Source organism: Homo sapiens, chromosome 2 (genome assembly GCF_000001405.40).
Source record: "Homo sapiens chromosome 2, GRCh38.p14 Primary Assembly".
Taxonomy (NCBI): domain Eukaryota; kingdom Metazoa; phylum Chordata; class Mammalia; order Primates; family Hominidae; genus Homo; species Homo sapiens.
Genome location: NC_000002.12, coordinates 15,961,221 through 15,983,265, shown reverse-complemented (window position 1 = coordinate 15,983,265; position 22,045 = coordinate 15,961,221). Strand labels below are relative to the sequence as shown.

Here is a 22,045-nt window from a genome sequence, read left to right as displayed (position 1 = left end):
CTCCACCACTGGAGATCATAGCCAGTGACATTGTAGCTGGCACGGGAAATTCACAGTCTACACTCCAAGCAGCATGCGGGGAGAAGGCGTTCACCACTTTTCTGGGGATGGAGTTTAAAAAGCGAGACAGAGAGAGGAGGCAAGAGAATCAGAACACGTTGGAAAGGAAGAAGAGAAAAGGTAAGACTGAGATAAATCTCCTAAGCTGTGTCAAATACTAGCAGGTTCCAGCAACTGCATTCAACTACAGCTAAGAAGTACTGAACAGCCCTTCCTCAGCTTCCTGGCCTCTAAAATCGTAGGCCCCATGAAAGAGAAAACATAGTAGACAATTAAAAGAAGGAGTGAGTACTAGAACTGAGCCAAGCCCCCTCCTCAGCTCCCTGCTCCCCTTGCCTGCCCGGCATCCCTTGCTAGAAGGTTCTCAGAACTCCAGGAAGCCATCTGCACCGGCTCAGAAGTGGCAGAGGGGGAATTAAAACCACGAAAGGAAGGATCAGAGAGACTCTCTCCCCCTCAAGAGCCACTTTAGTAGATGAAAAAAGCCAGGCGATTTTAATCATCACAAATTGTCTGAGCCTCTGAATCCACCTTCTCTGAAGCAAGGGAGGCCTTCCCTGGTTGCTGACTGATGCTCTCCAGTGGTCTGGGCTCGGGGTGTGGCTGGAAACCTACCTTTGTCCCCCTCCTCACTTCCTGGATCCTTCTGCCTGTCCTCCCAGGTCCCTGGCCCAGTCCAGGCCAAAGCAGCCCAACCCTGCTTATCTAAGGAGATCTGACAAGACTCCAGCCCTCAGGGGTACGGCCGCTGGCAAAACATATGGTGCATCGTAAATAGGACTTCCTTTTAGGAAATGAGCTGCTGTAATTAAATCCCCATTCATTTTTTGTAACATACACACAGAGACAAATAGATCTTTATCCTTTAGAGGCACAGAAGAGAATGGCTTGTGGGGAACAGAGATTATCTGGCGCAGTAGACTCTTAAAAAAGACTTCCTAGATCCAGGTGGAATGAAAACTCCGAATTCATAAGCTCCATCGCTAGCCCAAGTGGGCGAGCAGCTCTACTTCCCCTCTCCAGGACCAGTGAGGGAGCCTTTTGAAATGGAAGAACGTATTTACCTGGAATCTGGGCCGAAGAGGCGATCACTTCTTCCCATCCCACAGTCCTGTGACAGAGCAAAGCTTAAATTAGATGTATTTCAATTGGTTTTCTCTGGATTGGGTTCAACCTGAATTGAGCCCACCTGTGAGCTATGTATTGGGCTAGGCACTGTGGAGGGATACAGGGAGCAGGTGGGACCCAGGGGACTCCTAGGGACCCAAGAGACACCTGAGGGACAAGGTGCTGACCTGCGCACAGCACCCAGTTCTACAGGAAGGGGAGCATGGGGGGGCGGCAGGTTGTTCCATTGGGGGTCTGGGAAGCCTTCATGGGGTTAACAGGAGAGCCGATCCTGGAGGGAAGAGTAGGATTTCCTGAACAGAGACTGGAGTGACAGCATCCAGGGAGATGGAACAGGACACAGAGCATGGTACTGAGGCCTGTCTGGTACTAGAGTCACAAGATTCATGGGAGATACGGGTGAGGAAAAGAAGGAGCTGGACGCCGGGCGCGGTGGCTCACGCCTGTAATCCCAGCACTTTGAGAGGCCAAGGCAGATGGATCACCTGAGGTCAGGAGTTCAAGACCAGCCTGACCAACATGGTGAAACCCTGTCTCTACTAAATACAAAAAATTAGCTGGGTATGGTGGCGCATGCCTGTAATCCCAGCTACTCGGGAGGCTGAGGCAGAGAATTGCTTGAACCTGGGAGGTAGAGGTTGCAGTGAGCCGAGATTGCATCATCGCACTCCAGCCTGGGCAACAAGAGCGAAACTCCGTCTGAAAAACAAAACAAAACAAAACAAAACAAAAGAACTGGACATCTTTTCTGTCTTTGAGAGCCAATAAGGTCCAATATGTCATTTCCTCAGAAATGAAATTTTCTGGCCGCGCGTGGTGGCTCACACTTGTAATCTCAGCACTTTGGGAGGCCAAGGTGGGTGGATCACCTGAGGTCAGGAGCTTGAGACCAGCCTGGCCTACATGGTGAAACCCCATCTCTACTAAAAATAAAAAATTAGCTGGGCGTGGTTGTGTGTGCCTGTAATCCCAGCTACTCGGGAGGCTGAGGCAGGAGAATCACTTGAACCTGGGAGGCAGAGGTTACTGTGAGCCGAGTTCGTGCCACTGCGCTCCAGCCTGGGCAACAGAGCAAGACTCTGTCTCAAATAATAACAATAATAAATAAATAAATAAAATGAAAGAAAAGAAAAAAATTTTTCTTTCATGCAGTCACCAAACATCTGTTGTCTTGCACACGGTAGGAAAAAACAAAACACCAAAACTGTTTCTCAGACTGAATACGATGTGAAAGGCACTGAGTTAGATGGTGTGCTGGTCGGTCTCCGGGGTGAAGGAGATCCAGGGGTCAGCCTCCAGGCATTTGCAAACTCTCAACCTTGCAAATACCATGGGGCCCTCCCCGCAGTTACTGTGTTTGGAATCTCGAGAAAATCACAGAGCTTCTTTGAGATGCAAATGTTGCGCTGGGCTGGGCCGGCTCACAATTCAGATCGGCTATCGCCACCAAATACCACGTCCACAGGGCTGGGACTTCCAGTGGGGCTTTGGAATGGTTGACCCCGAGAAGGTGAAATCCCAGATACCGAGGCTTCATACAAGGCAGAAAGTGCTAAAGGCCATTTGAAAATGACCTTTGAAAGTGCTAGCGGATAAAGGCATCCCACACCCTGTGGTGATCAGGGCAAGCCACATGCATAGGGGTCAAGACCTGTGGTTTGCCTGTATTTGAATCCTGGCCCCAAAGTCTACTAGCTGTGTGACTTTTAGTGAAAGACTTAACCTCTCTGTGCTCTGGTTTCTTCTTCTGTAAAATAAGGATAAAAATAGAACAATAGGCCCCTCCTAGGGTCATTGTGATGAATGAATTAAGATCCATAAAGCACTTAAGACAGTGTGGGGCACATAATAAGTGCTTGAGGTATTTGTTGTTGTTACTGTTATTTAATGAATGGTGTAAGTAGATACACAGTGTCTGTGAGATGAGGATATGAGCAAACCATTTTAGATAAAGAAAATTCTGTCCAGGTGCGAAGTCTTATGCCTGTTAATTCCAGCACTTCTGGAAGCCGAGGTGGGAGGATCACTTGAGCCCAGGAATTCAAGACCAGCTTGGTCAACATGCCGAAACCCCATCTCTACTAAAAAAAATACAAAAATTAGCCAGGCGTGGTGGTGCACACCTGTGGTCCCAGCTACTCGGGAGGCTGAGGTGGGAGGATGGCTTGAGACCAGGAGGCAGAGGTTGCAGTGAGCCGTGACTGTGCCACTGCACTTCAGCCTTGGCAACAAAGGAAGACCTTGTCTCCAAAAAAATAAGAAGAGGAAGAAAAAAAAGTCTGGCTGGGCTTGGTGGCTCAAAACTGCAATCCTACCACTTTAGGAAGCTGAAGTAGGAGGATTGCTTGAGCCCAGGAGTTTGAGACCAGCCCGGGCAGCATAATGAGACCCTGTCTCTTAAAAAAAAAAGAGAGAAAGAAAGAAAAGAAAAGAAAGAAAAAAAAAACGGAAAGAAAAGTCTGTGAATCTTTGGCACCTGGACACTTTTCAAAAATAAAAATAAACTTCTTTTGTAGTCAGTATTGGACTAGTCAGTACTTAACATCACTTGGAAGGTGACGTTCCTGTCTGGGGCCTGCTGGGGACCTCACAGGGACGCCAAGCATCAGACAGACAGTTGGACTAGCTGACCTGTGAGGACCCTTTTGGTCCTGAAATGCCATCACATGCATTCTATTACACAGGGAGGGAAGCTTTCCCCAGGTTCCCAGGCTGTAAAAAGGGAAAGAAAGCACACAGTGGCTTCCATGTTCTCTCACACACCCTGCCGGGGCATCCTCCTAGCACGGAGGAAACTGGCCTTCCCCACAGTTAACTGCTGCTGTGGGGTTCTAGTCATCCCCAGGAACTTGCAGTGTGTCCTGAAGAGCAGGGGAGGGAGAACACCACGGTTATAGAGTTTGAGTTTCTCTCTCTACCTCCTCATCCACCAAGTCCTCCTCATCTCTTTCCCTCAAAACACCATTTTTGGCTGGGCGTGGTGGCTCATGCCTGTTATCCCAGCACTTTGGGAGGCCGAGGTAGGTGGATCACTTGAGGTCAGGAGTTCGATACCAGCCTGGGCAACATGGTGAAACCTTGTCTCTACTAAAAGAACAAAAATTAGTTGGGCGTGGTGGCAGGCGCCTGTAATCCCAGCTACTTGGGAGGTTAAGGCAGGGGAATCGTTTGAACCTGGGAGGCAGAGGTTGCAGTGAGCCGAGATTGTGCCACTGCACTCTAGCCTGGGTGACAGTGAGACTCCTTTTCAAAAAAAAAAAAAAAAAAACCCACACCATATTTTATGTCCTCTTATTTAAAGTGGGAAACTGAGGCCTGGTACCTTGCCTGCCATCACACACCATCTGGGCTCAAAATAAATCCCAGGCTCCCTTTCTTCCTGACCTGGGTCACCTCCATTTGCTACTCCCAGTTTGCAAAGGGCTTTCAAATAGATGATTCTGATCTGCCTCCCAGCGGATATCAGGGGGCCTGTTTTACAAAGGATAAACCAAGGCACAGAGAGGGTAAGTGGCCAGTCAAGAGATGCAGCTGGTACCTGGTGAAACTGGGATTCGATACTCTTCTCACTACACTAAGTCCAGGCAGCACACTCTCCTGCTTACCTCATTTTCTCAGGTCACCTTTGACCACAGTCATTGTTAGGACCTTTTGCCAAACATCTCAGTTCCAGTCTCCGTCTGGCTTTGGACAATCTATCTTGGACCAGTTTCATCTCTAAGAAACTGCTCTGACTATAAATTGAATTCTTCCTTCTGGGAGCACCTCTTGGTGCTTTTCACCATCTTCCCCTCTTTTACATTGAGCAAAACAGCAGTTTTCATATGGATATTATACTTTGCATTTGCTTAGCACTTTTGGCTTTTCGCAGCACTTTCCCATCTATTATCTTGTTTTATCCTAATAAGCCCATGAGACTGGCAGTGTTCTCCTTATAGCAGAGAAGAAAAGAAGACACAGAGGAAACAGTGTCTGGTTCCAGGTCACCCAGCAAACCGATGGCAGACCAAGGAGGGAACGCAGTAGGATTTCCGGGGCTGCACTCTTCCATCTTAGTACATTAATTCTTTGCCATGGATTGAGCTTCTTTTTTTTTTTTTTAAGACAGAGTCTCACTCTGTTGCCCAGGCTGGAGTGCAGTGGCACAATCTCGGCTCACTGCAACCTCCGCCTCCCAGGTCCATGCCATTCTTCTGCTTCAGCCTCCCGAGTAGCTGGGACTACAGGTGTGCGCCACCACGCCCGGCTAATTTTTTGTATTTTTAGTAGAGACAGGGTTTCACCGTGTTAGCCAGGATGGTCTCAATCTCTTGACCTTGTGATCCACCCGCCTTGGCCTCCCAAAGTGCTGGGATTACAGGCGTGAACCACTGTGCCCGACCACTGAGCTTCTTTTTTTAAAGAAAATTATTTTTTAATTTTTTTTATGGGCAGCCGCTGAACGAGAGCAGGTTCAGAGAGATTCCCTGAGCTTCTTAACGGATGTCATGAATCATTTAAGGAAGGAGAGTATCAAAGGCCAGGCGCCTGGTGGCTCACACCTGTAATCCCAGCACTTTGGGAGGCTGAGGTGGGCGGATGACTTGAGGTCAGGAGTTCAAGACCAGCCTGACCAGCATGGTGAAACCCATCTCTACTAAAAATACAAAATTAGCTGGTTGTGGTGGTGCATGCCTGTAATCTCAGCTACTCGGGAGGCTGAGGCAGGAGAATCGTTTGAACCCGGCGGGCAGAGGTTGCAATGAGCCGATATTGAGGATCACTTGAGGTCAAAAGTTCAAGACTAGCCTGACCAGCATGGTGAAACCCCGTCTCTACTAAAAACACAAAATTAGCTGGGGGTGGTGATGCACGCGTGTAATCCCAGCTACTTGGGAGGCTGAGGCAGGAGAATTGCTTGAACCTGGGAGGCGGAGGTTGCAGTGAGCTGAGATTGCGCCGTTGCACTACAGTCTGTGCTACAAGAGTGAAACCCCATCTCAAAAAAACAAAAACAAGGAGAGTATCATTTTGAGTGTGAGAAATGTGAGACATGGCCAAGTGTTACAGAAGAAAAAAATGCTATGCTGGAGTCAGGAGTGGCCGTTCTCATTTCAGCTTTGCTCCTGCTCCATGTATGACTCTAGACAAGTCACTTTTTTCCCAGCTTCACTTTCCTGACCTTCAAAATGATGGGATTGAACCACACCCTCTCTGGCATGGGCAAGAAGCCTCTTCCAGGTCCCAGAGACTATGTTGCTATCTTCAAATTTGACTGGTAGAAAAATGGGCAGTTTTTCTTTACTTTCCACTTGGGGATACAAAAAAAAGATCCAAGAGTTGCAGAGAAAAAGTGCTTGGGAGAAGTCACTCTTCACCTAATCTAGTTTTAGGTGAAACTGCCTCCCGTGGAATGCCAGGTGAATGATTAAAACGTGAGTAGGCATTGTTCTGGCTTGTTTCATGGTACAGGCATTTAATCCCAACATCGCTGTGTGAAACGTACTCCTGTTTGCACGGGGGAGCCCCATAGGTTTTTAATTCTTCTGTGGGAAACAAAGGCCCTCATTCACTAAACAGTAACTCAGGAGGGTAGTTTCTGCTCTTACCAGTCAAAAAATGTTGTCTGGCCACAAGATCTCATCATCGAACTCAAGAGGCAAAAGAAAGCTCTTTTTACACTGGGTCTCTTTGATAGTGGTCAAGCTCGTGTTTGCATTTTCTTCTTTATGAATAAGGTCTTAGGTTTATTTTATAGGGAAATAAATCTAGCCAGAGGTTCTAATGACAAGATAATGACCAGAAGAGGACTCTATTTGTTGCAAAAGGGTTTGTGTTATGAAAAACAGAGCAACTTTGCCATTTGTTTTTGAAAGAAAGGCTTTGGCAGCTCCCTTCAATGATTAGCTGAGAAGTGACTTCACACATCCATAGGACAAATTTCTATCTAATTTACAAAAGTTCCCAGGGAGCATGCCTTTCAGTCCCAAAGGAGCTCACAGAAGACAGCTAATTTATGCCCCAAGAGTTGTGAGAGGAATTTAGACATGGAAGACAACTATGTCTTCTTCGAGTGGCTTCTGAAATACATCAGATGGGGTAACACTCCCAGATAAGACCATAGCAGGAAATGTTTGTTGTCAGGTCTTCTTGTCTCATCCATTCATACACAGATACCTGTTTGATTCGCGCTGATTAGTCTGCAAAACACTGGAGGGTGGGGCAGGATGAGCACACCTAGAAACTGGAAACTTCTTCCCTGCCCTCCACCCACTTACAATTTTGTCAGGAAATCAGCTGACCACATATTAGCTTGAAATACAATGCAGAATACAATAAGACCTTGAAAGGCCTCAGAACGAATAATTACAAGAATTCCGAGCAGGGAGTAATCACTGCTCATTGGAGCTTTGAGGAACAAAACATCAGTGGGCCCAGAAGAATCAGGACAGCTTTGTCCTCTAGAACCTTCCACAATGATGGAGAAGGTCTCTATCTGCTCTGAACAATTTGCTGGCCATTAGTCAGATGTGGCTGTTGAACATTTGAAATGTAGCTAGTGTGACTGAAGAACTGAATTGTATCTTTTATTTAATTTTTTAAATTTTTTTGTGGTAAAATATGCGTAACATAAAATTTACCATTTTAACCATCTTTAAGTGTACAATTCATTGGCATTAAGTATACCCACAAAGTTGCGCAACCATCACCATTACCCATTTCTAGAATGTTTTCGACATCCCAAATTGAAACTTTGTACCCATTTATAGGGGTGTTCAATCTTGTGGCTTCCCTGGGCACATTGGGAGAGGAATTGTCTTGGGCCACACATAAAATACACTAACACTAATGATAGCTGATGAGCTTTTAAAAAAAAATCTCATAATGTTTGAAGAAAGCTAACAAATTTGTGTTGGGCCACATTCAAAGCTGTCCTGGGCCTCGGGTTGGACAAGCTTGTCATTAAACAACTTCCCATTCCTCCTACCCCCAGACCCTGGAAACGCTGGTCTACTTTCTCTCTCTCTTTGTGTATATGAGTTTGCCTATTCTAGGTAGCTCATATAAGTGAAATCACACAGTATTTGTCCCTTTGAGTCTGTCTTATTTTACTTATTAAGCCGTTTTCAAGGTTCATCTGCTTGTAGTATTCAAATGTCCTTCCTTTCTGAGGCTGAATAATAATCTATTGATGTATTTACCACATTTTGTTTATCTATTCATTGATTGATATTTTATTTAACTTTAACTAACTTTGAATAGCCAAATGTGGCTACTGGCTACTATATTGAACGCTGCAGATCTGTAGGACTTGGGCACTGTTGTGTGTTAGGAGTATGTGTGAATGAGAGGGGTGTGTGTGTGAGTGTGCCCACTACATTGAAGAGGTGGTGTGGAAATCAGGAGAATTCAAAGGGAAGAAATCCCAGTGAGCACAGGTGCAGAGAGGAGGGACCTTTTGGAAGAGAATACGGAACATGATGCCTGAAACAGAAGGTATGTTAAGCAAGGTAGAAAATATGGCTAGAAAGAGAAGCTTTCCGAGAGCATAAATAGTCTTGAATACAACGTTTACATTATTTCAACACGAACTTACCTTCAGTTGTAAAATTGCAATATTATGTACTTGTTTAAATCCTTCAAAGCATCATTCCTGCTATCATTTTATGAAGAATAAAGACCAAATGTTGGACAAATACCTGCAGGACTCCATTTGAGAGAAAAAAAAAAAAATGTGCATAAGAGTCCCAGTCTAGAAAGCAGATGAATTAGACAGATATTGTTAAACTTGTAGGGAAAAAAATACTCACTTCATGGAAGGATTTACTAGAGACTCTTCCTTTACAGAATGTGCTCCCTTAGGGTACTAAAAATAGGATTTGATTTACTTTAAAAATGCATTTGCAACTCTTCCAGGCCCATCTCGACGGCGCTAAACAAAGCCTGCCTGTGGAACTGTTGCTCTGTGTGGGGCTAAAACACAATGTAATGGTCACAGTTTTTCTCCAGCTTGGTTGAAACAGTGAAGAATAGTGGAAAGAGCTCAGGCTTTCAAGTCAAGACATCTTCCTAAGGAAAGCGATTGAATTTCTTTGAAATATGGTTTTCTTATCTGTCAAATGGAAAAATTCCAAGCAATCTTTCAGACCTTTATATAAATTGCCTCGCCCAACATCTGGAAGGTTATAGGAACACCAAAAAGGGGTGGGAGAGGGGAGTCTTGGCAGTTATATCATTTTCAAAACAACTAAAGACAGGTCAAGATGGACAAAATGTTGCCAGGAGTCAGGACATCTTATGAGATATGACAATGGTGAAAAGAGATAACAGGCCTGCCAGGCAGGAGGACCGAAGTTTCAGATCTGCCAACCAGCTGGGACCAAAATAGCAAGAAGATTCAAGATGCAGATCAAGATAAAGCAAAGTCTTATTATCTCCATTTGACAAATGTGGAAACTTGAGTCTCAGGGAGTTTTCTTAGCTTCCCCTAAAGTGACACATACAGTTAGTGGCTAGAACAACTGAAACCCATCCCCTGTGAATGCAGCAGAATGAATGTCCCTTCCACCTCGCCATGCTCAGCTTAACTCTGCCACTACATGTGACAGTGAGCACTCAGTAACTGGCTAATGGCAGGTTCATGAGAGGCTCCAGGGCCCTGAGGAGACACAAATGCAGCAGGCTGAGCAACAAAGGGCTACTCCAAACTTTTAAAGTTTTGACTCTATTTCTAAGGGACATCAGAGACTGCAACATCTCGATATACTGAAGATGTAAAAACAGATGCTCAGGGCCAGGCACGGTGGCTCATGCCTGTAATCCCAACATTTTGGGAGGCCAAGGTAGGTGGATCACCTGAGGTCAGGAGTTCGTGACCAGCCTGGCCAACATGGTGAAACTCTGTCTCTACTAAAAATACAAAAATCAGCCTGGCGTGGTGGTGGGCGCCTGTAATCTCACCTACTGGGAGGCTGAGGCAGCAGAATCACTTAAACCTGGGAGGCAGAGTTCACAGTGAGCTAAGATCATGCCACAGCTTGCCAGCCTGGGTGACAAATAGAGACCCTGTCTCAAAAACAAAACAAAACAAAAAAACAACAACCAAAAAAACCTGACTCTTAGAGATAGGAAGTGACCAGCCTAGGTTATGCAGCAAACCACTGGCAAAACAGAGATTCTTTCCTTTACTTTCCCATACTCTTTCCTGTGCTACACCACCCAGGAAATGCAAAGGTGAGTTTTTTCTCTACTTAGTGTAGGTCAAAGCCCCTTCTTGTGTCTCTCTGTAAGCAAGTCTTTCAATGGGCATGATTGCTTTCAGCAGAAGCATCTCACAGTTTCTCCAGCAACACTTACCTTCACTCCTGTTTCCCGAACCCACTGGACTCATTATGGAGAAAACTACAAAGTGAGCCCTGACTGGGGACTATGATGGCAGAAGCCAAATATTAGCTGAAAAACAATATATGTATGAAATTAACCCAGAAAAATTATGGAGAAATGCACAGATAAAGGAGTTTCAAAGAATAACAATGTTTTGCTAACAATACCAGTAGCTCACAGATCGCAGTTGTGTGTGTGTGTGTGTTTTGGCAATCAACATCGCATTTGCATAGTATTTTACAAATGTTAAAGCATTATTATATCCACCCTATCATTTGTTCCATATAATGCATTGATATCCACAGACCATTCTAATATTCCTTTTTTCAAAAACCTGAGCCCCAAATTAGTCCCATTTTCCATCCTTCTCTACCTTTATATAACCTGCAGTTTCCATGCAAACAAGAGTTGCTTAAATATCTCCAAACCTTTGTTTGTACTTTTCCTGCGTTCTGAAGCGTCTCTGCTTTTTTGTGTTTGTTTTTGTTTCTGAGACAGAGTCTTGCTGTGTCACCCAGGCTGGAGTGCAGTAGCACGATCATGGTTCACTGCAGCCACAATCTCACAGGCTTAATGGATACTCCCACTTTAGCCTCCCAAGTAGCTGGGACCACAGGCACACACCACCAGGCTTGGCTCATTTTTTTGTTTTTTGTAGATGGGGTCTCGCCATGTTGCCGAGACTGGCCTTGAACTCCTGGCTCAAGGGATCCACCCACCTTCATCTCCCAAGGTCCTAGGATTATAGGCATGAGCCACCACACCCAGCCTAGAATGCTTTTGTTTGATACTGCTTTTCCAAACCTGAATATCTCCTTATCTGTAAACACTCAGCTCGTGCAGCTTCCTCCAGGGAGTTCTCCCTCTCACTTGCTGCCTGCAAAGTCTGAACTCCCAGACCTTCAGGAAAGGGTTCATGCTGGACTCATCTCTGCATCCCCCATGCCCAGTGCAGTGGTTGGCATGGACAGGTGTGCCCCAGGGCGAGGGCTGATGAGGAAAGCAAGTCCCAGAGAGGCTTGGTGGCTGCTTGGCCGCAGAAGCTGAATTCACCACAGAGCATGGATTAAGACCCATATATCTTGATTCCTAGACCAACGCAGGGCTTGAACAGCTTCTGCCAAAAGCACAGAGTGGGTTGCCATCCAGAATCAGGGTCCTGTCTGGTGCGCTGCTGGAGGTCTCTGCATGGGGAATTCCTTCTTCCCTCCTGACCCTCGTGGGTCCTGAGCCCCCCCACCAGCCCCCTCTGCAGTGGGGCCCACAGCACACAAAGGTGCTATTTCCTCTCCTCTCTCCTTAGCAGAGAAACAGCGTTAAAGGAATCTGGAAGCCTATGAGTGAGCGTGTCTTTTCTGCTGTATCAGTTTCTAATTGGGCAGGGGAAGGGTCACGGAGGATGTCTGGGGTACGCTTTCACTCCTGGCTTGGGTTTTATTTTGTTTCCGTCCTCATTCCCAATAGCTCTTCCAGCACCCTGTCATAAAGTTGTGGGGCTTTTAGAATTATTTATAATCTCATTTTAAGTTGACATGAACTCTTAAAAGCCTCCAATTCCCCCATTGTATTTATTTAGGCAAAGGTAATATCATAATCCACAATGATGCATTACAAGACACAATAATTGTCTTGCAAATATGGGTCTGATGAATCCTAATTGGTTCCTGGGTTACTTAAAGGGCAAATCATTTTGGTTGGGTGGTGATGTTGTGATATTCTTCAAACCACTGACAATACATGTTCAACACCCATGTGAAGCCTCTGGAGGACCCAAAGATGGCTAATGTAGCATCCCTGTGCCTCCAGGAGCCCCGAGTGGAGAGTGAGAAACAGAGGACAAGTACAGCTACCATGACACTAATGAGTTGTAAAAAGGACACAAACGAGAAATACTCATTTGGACTGAAGGAAGCTGTGCTTGAGCGAAACCTTGACGTGAGATTAAACTTGGCCAGATGAAGATGAAAGAGAAGAGAGAAAGAGCATCGGGGCAGCAAGGGACCAAAGGTGTGGGAAGACTGGACAGGACCTGGGAATAGCACCGGGAAACAGGACAGGAAATTGAAAGGAAAGACAAAGAGAAAGAAAAGACGAAGAGTTTCAAGGTTAGTGAGAGCTGAGCAACACCCTTTCTGTCCACTCTAGCCAGACCTCGTTTTATTGCACTTCATTAAATTTCACAGATACTTCATGCTTTACAAATTGAAGGTTTGTGGCAGCTCTGCATGGAGCAAGTCTATGGACCCCATTCTTCCAACAGCACGTGCTCACTTCATGTCTTTGTGTCACATTTTGGTATTATTGTAAATATTACCAAAAAAAAATCTAACCCTATTTCAAACATTTCCATTACTATTATAACTGTTATGGTGATTTGTGATCAGGGATTTTTTTTTTTTTTTTTTTTTTTTTTTTTTTTTTTTTTTGAGACAGAATCTCACTCTTGCCCAGGCTGGAGTGCAGTGGCACGATCTCAGCTCACTGCAACCTCCACCTCCCAGGTTCAAGTGATTCTCATGCCTCAGCCTCCCGAGTAGCTGGGATTACAGGCGCCCGCCACCATGCCCAGCTAATTTTTGTAGTTTTAGTAGAGACAGGGTTTCACCACGTTGGCCAGGCTGGTCTCGAACTCCTGACCTGAGGTGATCCGCCTGCCTCAGCCTCCCAAAGTGCTGGGGTTACAGGTGTGAACCACCCTACCCAGCCAGGGATCTGATTTTATTGTTGTAATTGTTTTGGGGTCCACAAGCCATGCCCGTATGAGGTGGCAAACTTAATTGATAAGTATGTTCTGACCACTCTGCTGACCAGCCATTCTCTGTCTCTCTCCCTCTCTTCAGGCCTCCCTATTCCCTGAAACACAACAGTATCAAAATGAGACCAACTAATAACCCACAATGACCTGTAAGCATTCAAGTGAAAGGAAGAGTCACATATCTTTCCATTTAAGTCAAAAGCTAGAAATGATTAAGTTTAGTGAGGCAAGTATGTTGAAAGCCGAGATAGGCCAAAAGCTAGACCCTTTGCACCAAATAGTTAAACCAGATGAGAATGCAAAGGAAAAGTTTTTGAAGGAAATTAAAAGAGCTACTCCAGTGAACACATGAATGATAAGAAAGCTAAACAGCCTTATTGCTGATATGGGGAAAGTTTTAGTGGTTTGGATAGAAGATTAAACCAGCCACAACATTCCCTTAAATCAAAACCTAAACCAGAGCAAGGCCCTAACTCTCTTCAATTCTATGAAGGCTGAGAGGGGTGAGACAACTGCAAACAAAAGTTGGAAGAGATTAAGGAAAGGAGCCGTCTCCGTAACATAAACGTGCAAGGAGAAACAGCAATTGCTGATGGAGAAGCTGCAGCAAGTTCTCCAGAAGATCTAGCTGAGATTGTTGATGAAGGGGACTACACTAAACCCCATATTTTCCCATATTTTCCATGTAGGCAAACGAACCTTCTATGGGGAGAATATGGTCATGGACATTTTTGCCATCCATCTAAGGAGAAATTGATATGATATGCTAAGTCCACAATTATCACCTAAAACTTTCATTACACCTTACAGATGGAGAAAAAGAAACATGGAGAAATGATGATAGCTGTGATCCCAAAGCTAGAAAGAGGCAGGGTGGGGACTCAGTTGCAGGATTCAGAGCCTGTGACCCACCTGCCAGACTATGCATTGACTCTACCTAGAGAAGCCTTCTTTGGTCGTCCCCACCCAGACCAGAGTTCATGGGGATCAGTTGCACCTGGGAGGCCAGTAGGTAAAAGAAAGGCAGGAACAGGGGCAGATTCCTTGAGAAAACCCCAACAACAGGGGTGAAATCTCCCTGGGCGTGGGCTGAGGCTGACTGTGAACCTGGGCCTGCCACTGGCTCCCAAAAGTCACATGACCTATCTGCACCTGGCTGTCCTCAACTGTGGCATGCAGAGTAAATCCCACCCTGCTGGCCACAAAGTGGCACAGAAAGGATCAGGAGCCATTTGATGTCAGAAAGGCTTTTGCAAAGGGGAAGGCCCCGTACAAATGCGAGGAGTTGTTCAAACAGGGAAAAAAAAATTAAAAAGTAGAGTTTCAGTGAGATCCTCCTCCCTTTGGTCCCCCCGCCCCACCCCGGGAACATGACTACTTCAATCAAACACATTTCTGGGTAAAACAGTGCATGTTTCAGATTCTGTAATGATGAATTTGCAACCTCATTTAACCACTCTTGAAAAAGACCATGCCCAACACAGACTCACCTGGTTTCTTTGTGGGAGGAATCCAAAGACACATTGTGCATTGTTCTAGTTCCAGGCTCCAGCTACCCTTTTGCTCCACTCCCCTCCCCAGGCACTCTGTTCCTACCATCCTCCAAGTTCACCAGCAGTCAAGGTAGAGACCTCTTGTTAAACAGAACACGCTCTATTTCAAGGTATGCAGACTGCTTCATTTCACATGGTATGAGTCATGATTCACAGCTCCAGAAAAGAATCAAAAGAATTCATTAAAACAGTAGAAAATGTCACATCCAGCATCTCTAATGTTGATTTTTCCTCTCTCATCTGGGGACCCAGGGACGGAGGGGCAAGAGAAGTGCCTGCACATAGGCCCATCAGCCATCCTTCCTAGGCCCAGGAATTGGGAAGGCCAGGGTATAAGGCAAGTTGGGACAGTTGATAAAGAGGGAAGATGTTAGAGGGAAATACTCCCTACTCTGTCTCACCCAGGACTTTTCGAAGTTCTCAATAGATTTTGACTGAAAGGGAAGTCCAGCTAACTCTCTAGTCCAAGAAGCATTTAAGCAAAGAGAGGCTGAGAGCAAGAGAATGCATGCTGGTCAGTAATGGCTGTTGCTGAAGAGACCTAGCTTATGGCCAGGGCCGGATCTCCAGTTTGAGTGATTTATGCAAAATAAGAAAGCAGGCCGGGTGCAGTGGCTCATGCCTGTAATCTCAGCACTTCGGGAGGCCAAGGCGGGTGGGTAACCTGAGGTCAGGAGTTTGAGACCAGCCTGGCCAACATGGCGAAACCCTGTCTCTACTAAAAATACAAAAATTAGCCAGGTGTGATGGTGGGTGCCTACAGTCCCAGCCACTCAAGAGGCTGAGGCAGGAGAATCGCTTAAACCCAGTAGGCAGAGGTTGCAGTGAGTCCAGATGGCACTACCGCACTCCAGCCTAAGCAACAGAGACAGATTCCATCTCAAAATAAATAAATAAATAAAAATTAAAAAAAGAAGAAGAAAACAGACAACGCAGGTGTGGGTGTCTCTTTTCATGAGGCTGTGGGTAGATGGAGAGAGTTGGGGGAAAAGGGGAGAGAGTTAGAGCTGGCAGATTTCACCTCCTGGTGGACTTAGTCCCCTGGTAGATTTAGTCCCACAAATGGTGTTCTTGTAATCTGTGAAACTTGTCTTTCCCATCTTTGTCCCTGTCCCTCTTGAGTCACTGGCCTTCCTATGTAGGATGTCACCCCCATCCAAAGGCTGAGATAGTGGGATAGTGGCCCCTTTAATGAGAGCCCCATCACCTGTGTCTAATCCACTCACAGCCCTGAACACACTGCATTATAACATTGATTCCGACTTGTCTGTCTCTCCCCGCTAGACTAAGCCCCCTAAAGACAAAGACAGACCTTTGCATCTCTGCAGCCCTAGAACTGAGCACAGGGCCTGGCACAGACCAGATGGCCAATAACAATTAGCTGACCTGGCCGGGCACAGTGGCTCACGCCTGTAATCCCAGCACTTTGGGAGGCCGAGGCGGGTGGATCACGAGGTCAGGAGATCGAGACCATCCTGGCTAACACAGTGAAACCCCGTCTCTACTAAAATTACAAAAAATTAGCCGGGCGTGGTGGCAGGTGCCTGTAGTCCCAGCTACTCGGGAGGCTGGGGCAGGAGAATGGCATGAACCCGGGAGGCGGAGCTTACAGTGAGTGGAGATCGCACCACTGCACTCCAGCCTGGGCGACAGAGTGAGACTCTGTCTCAAAAAAAAAAAAAAATTAGCTTACCAGAGGCCCCCTGTTATGGAGTTGATTTGTGTCCCCCCGAAAAATATACTGAAGTCCTGACCTCCAGTACCCCAGAATGTCACTTTATTTGGAAATAGGGATGCTGCAGATGTAATTAGTTAAAATGAGGTCAAACTGGAGTAGAGTGAACCTCGATTCCATATAACTGTTGTCCTTATAATAAAAGGGAATTTTGGACAGAGAGGGAAGAGGCCCATGTAAAGACACAGAGATTTAGGGAGAACCGTGTCAAAGGAAGCCATGGAGCAGGAAGGATCACCATCTGTCACCATAAGCTACGGGAGACGCCCAGGGCACTTCCTGTTATGGTCTTCAGAAGGAACCAGCCCTGCTGACAGCTTGAACAGATATCTACATTTCTGCTGCTGTAGCTCCCCAGTTTGCGGTACCTTCTTATGGTGGTCCAAGGGAACAAATACAGCCCTCCATACCCACCGCCTCCACCTCTTTCTGCTACCAGGGGCCTATTCCTTATTGTGTTTTATTGCATAATCTGGGCTGCCAAAGAGGGGCAGGATTTCGTGTTGTTTAATGGGGCTGATAATGTTTTCTAATCTAGAATATTTAGGTGAAATATTGTAGGATGTCATCAGAGTTCAAATCCCACAAGAAGCCATTTTTCAACAGCTAAAAGATCTAAAGAAATGCTCAGTATCTAACGATGGCCAATGCCCATGTCTGAGGGGCTGGGGATGAAGGGCAGGTTCTCCCTCTTCACCCCCCAGGGGGATTTCCCTCTCTCCCGTTGTGGGCTGGTGCCAGGGCGGGGGCGCCCCCAGTGCTGAGATGACAGGAAGCCGGGTGGCATAATCTGTCCTCCACCCGACAAAAGACAGGAAATCCAGAGCTGAAGGTGGAAAATCTGACCTCAGCTCACCCCTGCATTGTGTTGGGCCCAGAATGAAAGAACGGGCTGCACAAAGGCCTCTAAAGAAAGCGATTAGGGCCTGGCCCCTGTGGCGAGGGAGCGATGAGACACTGTCCCCAGACCGAGCTGCCCCAGCTCTGAAGGGCTGGATGGAGGCCTGGCCACAGTCGAGCAGTCCCCAAGGAAGGCCCACTCTGAAGCCCCAGAGTTCCCTGAGAAGGGCGTCCCACCCCATCAGCTCCTCGGAGAGCGCCTGGGGCCGCCTCCAACCAGACCAGCCTCCTGGGCACGAAGGACAGACTCAGGCCCTAAAGAAGCAGGGAGCACCAGCCTGTCCCAAAACGGGAATAGCCTCTACCCACCTCAGAGGGATTATGCAAATCAAATGAGCTAATGGATAACAATAATCCCTTCGATTTGTGGGGCACTCTACAGTTTACATAACCCTTGCAGTCGTTTATTTCATTTAATCCTCCTCGCCACCTTGTGAGGTAGGAATTTTCACTGCCTTTTACAGATGAGGTCACTGGCTCCAGAGTTCAAATGCCCACAGTGCCCAGAGGCGAGGAAGAGCAAGCTGTTTCCACCCCACACACAACTTGTGTTGTGGCTCTGGACCTGGCTTGCCCCGGAGACTAAGCTTGGTGCTTTCTTGAGGACAGGGCTCCCCTGGCTCCTCTGTCTGGGCCTGGGTGCACTCTGCCAAGACAGGGTGGACTTGGAGTGAACTGATGACAGGTGAAGCTGCCAGGCAGGTTCTGGGTCCTGAAGGTGTGGCTGTGTCTGCTCAGGTTTATCCTGGACTCTCTTAGTTCTGCTGACTGCATTTTTTTAAATTATAAAAATAATCAGTAAAGCCAGGCACAGTGGCTCATGCTTATAATCCCAACACTTTGGGAGGCTGAGGCGGGAAGATCGCTTGAGCCCAGGAGTTTGTGACCAGCTTGGGCAACAGGGCAAAACCCCATCTCTACAAAAATATATTAAAAAAAAAATTATCCAGGCATAGTGGTGCATGCCTATAGTCCCAGCTACTCAGGAGGCTGAGGTGGGAGGATCACTTGAGCCTGGGAGGTGGAGGTTGCCGTGAGCCAAGATCGCACCACTGCACTCCAGCCTGGGCGAGACAGTGAGACTCTGTCTTAAAAAAAAAAAAATTGCTAACACTTATCAAATATTTATTATGGGCCTTGCCACAGTATTAACTCTTTTACTCCTCACAATAAGCCAAACAGCTAGATGCTTTTTAGGAATTCCTATTTTACCAGTGTGGATACTGAGATCTGCAAATAGCAGACACAGCACTAAGTGCTGGAGTCCAGACCTGGGCAGCGTGACTCGAGGGTCCGTGATATCTTAAACCATGCCAGGAGTCAGGGCCCAGCCTCCAATTATAGCTGTAAAAACCACTGCACTCCAAAAAATATGTCACAGAGCCACATGGCAGAGGAAACCTGGATCAAACCTGGAAGGAACAAAATTTCAGTTCAATCTACAACATAATGCCCACTACAACAAGTCCCCTGTACCAGAGCTCACAGTCCATTGATAACACATGCTGTTTGATGTGATTGTAGCGCAGGGAGTGTACTTGGCCAGAACCTGCCTCTACCTGGCACCATGTTTAAATCTAGGCACTTGGATCCCTGTATTGACCTGCCTTCAGCCACACCTGGCCCCCAGAAGCCAAGGGGATGTATCTTCCAGGTACAGGATGAAGCTGGTGAAGTGGGAACTATAGGTAAGGTGGGGTGGGCTCCATTTGGGCTCTTTCTCCAGGGCCCAAATATTAGGTCAGCCTCCCTTTCCCTGACAACGCTGCAACATGCCCAGTGGACAGGAGGAAGCAATTCATTTTCCCAAGGGCGGTGCCCAGGTGTCTAAATTGAGTGACCAGGTAGATGGCAATGATAGAGACCAATACAGTGAATGACTCAGGAAAGACAGGTTTCAGGAGGAAAATGATGAGTTTAATTTGGACAAGTTGCATATGCGTGCCTTTGGGACATGAGAAAGAATATAATAGGAGCTAGAAATTTGAGACTTAATAAAAACATACAGGACTGGACATCATGATTCCCAGCCTTGGTTGCACATTGAAATCACCTGGGAAGTTCAGAAAACTTTCCTTGGTCTGTAGTATGGCCAGGGCACTGGGATTATTATTGTTATTTATTTATTTTTATTAATTTAACTTTTTTTTAATACTTTAAGTTCTAGGGTACATGTGCACAATGTGCAGATTTGTTACATATGTATACATGTGCCATGTTGGTGTGCTGCACCCATTAACTCGTCATTTACATTAGGTATATCTCCTAATGCTATCCCTCCCCGCTCCCCTCCACCACACGACAGGCCCCAGTGTGTGATGTTCCCCACCCTGTGTCCAAGTGTTCTCATTGTTCAGTTCCCACCTATGAGTGAGAACATGTGGTGTTTGGTTTTCTGCCCTTGTGATAGTTTGCTCAGAATGATGGTTTCCAGCTTCATCCATGTCCCTAAAAGGACATGAACTCATCCTTTTTCATGGCTGCATAGTATTCCATGGTGTATATGTGCCACATTTTCTTAATCCAGTCTATCACTGATGGACATTTGGGTTGGTTCCAGGTCTTTGCTATTGTGAATAGTGCCACAATAAACATATGTGTGCATGTGTCTTTACAGCAGCATGATTTATAATCCTTTGGGTATATACCCAGTAATGGGATGGCTGGGTCAAATGGTATTTCCAGTTCTAGTTCCTTGAGGAATCGCCACACTGTCTTCCACAATGGTTGAACTAGTTTACAGTCCCACCAACAGTGTAAAAGTGTTCCTGTTTCTCCACATCCTCTCCAGCACCTGTTGTTTCCTGACTTTTTAATGATCGCCATTCTAACTGGTGTGAGATGGTATCTCATTGTGGTTTTGATTTGCATTTCTCTGATGGCCAGTGATGATGAGCATTTTTTCATGTGTCTGTTGGCTGCATAAATGTCTTCTTTTGAGAAGTGTCTGTTCATATCCTTCACCCACTTTTTGATGGGATTGTTTGATTTTTTCTTGTAAATTTGTTTAAGTTCTTTGTAGATTCTGGATATTAGCCCTTTGTCAGATGGGTAGATTGTAAAAATTTTCTCCCATTCTGTAGGTTGCCTGTTCATTCTGATGATGATTTCTTTTGCTGTGCAGAAGCTCTTTAGTTTAATTGATCCAATTTGTCAATTTTGGCTTTTGTTGCCATTGCTTTTGGTGTTTTAGTCATGAAGTCCTTGCGCATGCCTATGTCCTGAATAGTATTGCCTAGGTTTTCTTCTAGGGTTTTTATGGTTTTAGGTCTAACATTTAAGTCTTTAATCCATCTTGAATTAATTTTTGTATGAGGTGTAAAAAAGGGATCCAGTTTCAGCTTTCTACATATGGCTAGCCAGTTTTCCCAGCACCATTTATTAAATAGGGAATCCTTTCCCTATTTCTTGTTTTTGTCAGGTTTGTCAAAGATTAGATAGTTGTAGATGTGTGGTATTATTTCTGAGGGCTCTATTCTGTTCCATTGGTCTATATCTCTGTTTTGGTCCCAGTACCATGCTGTTTTGGTTACTGTAGCCTTATAGTATAGTTTGAAGTCAGGTAGCATGATGCCTCCAGCTTTGTTCTTTTGGCTTAGGATTGTCTTGGCAATGTGGACTTTTTTTTTGGTTCCATATGAACTTTAAAGTAGTTTTTTCCAATTCTGTGAAGAAAGTCATTGATAGCTTGATGGGGATGGCATTGAATCTATAAATTACCTTGGGCAGTATGGCCATTTTCATGATATTGATTCTTCCTATCCATGAGCATGGAATGTTCTTCCATTAGTTTGTGTCCTCTTTTATTTTGTTGAGCAGTGGTTTGTAGTTCTCCTTGAAGAGGTCCTTCTCATCCCTTGTAAGTTGCATTCCCAGGTGTTTTATTTTCTTTGAAGCAATTGTGAATGGGAGTTCACTCATGATTTGGCTCTCTGTTTTTCTGTTATTGGTGTATAGGAATGCTTGTGATTTTTGCACATTGATTTTGTATCCTGAGACTTTGCTGAAGTTGCTTATCAGCTTAAGGAGATTTGGGGCTGAGACGTTGGGGTTTTCTAAATATATAATCATGTCATCTGCAAACAGGGACAATTTGACTTCCTTTTCTTCTAATTGAATACCCTTTATTTCTTTCTCCTGCCTGATTGTCCTGGCCAGAACTTCCAACACTATGTTGAATAGGAGTGGTGAGAGAGGGCATGCCTGTCTTGTGCCAGTTTTCAAAGGGAATGCTTCCAGTTTTTGCCTATTCAGTATGACATTGGCTGTGGGTTTGTCATAAATAGCTCTTATTATTTTGAGATACATCCCATCAATACCTAGTTTATTGAGAGTTTTTAGCATGAAGGGCTGTTGAATTTTGTCAAAGGCCTTTTCTGCATCTATTGAGATAATCATGTGGTTTTTGTCTTTGGTTCTGTTTATATGCTGGATTACATTTATTGATTTTCATATGTTGAGCCAGCCTTGCATCCCAGGGATGAAGCCAACTTGATCGTAGTGGATAAGCTTTTTGATGGGCTGCTGGATTCAGTTTGCCGGTATTTTACT

At 45.6% G+C, this 22,045-nt stretch overlaps 2 annotated features.

Moving 5' to 3' along the window:
• Positions 2,154-2,941: an enhancer, noted in NCBI's record as "OCT4-NANOG-H3K27ac hESC enhancer chr2:16120447-16121234 (GRCh37/hg19 assembly coordinates)". NCBI's record gives its function as "activates a minimal SCP1, AML or CMV promoter by ChIP-STARR-seq in primed H9 embryonic stem cells {active_cell/tissue: H9 hESC(primed)}" and the evidence as "EXISTENCE:reporter gene assay evidence [ECO:0000049][PMID:30033119]".
• Positions 2,385-2,679: a silencer, noted in NCBI's record as "tiled region #8208; HepG2 Repressive non-DNase unmatched - State 22:ReprW, and K562 Repressive non-DNase unmatched - State 21:Repr". NCBI's record gives its function as "represses a minimal TATA promoter and a strong SV40 promoter by Sharpr-MPRA in HepG2 and K562 cells {active_cell/tissue: HepG2 | K562}" and the evidence as "EXISTENCE:reporter gene assay evidence [ECO:0000049][PMID:27701403]".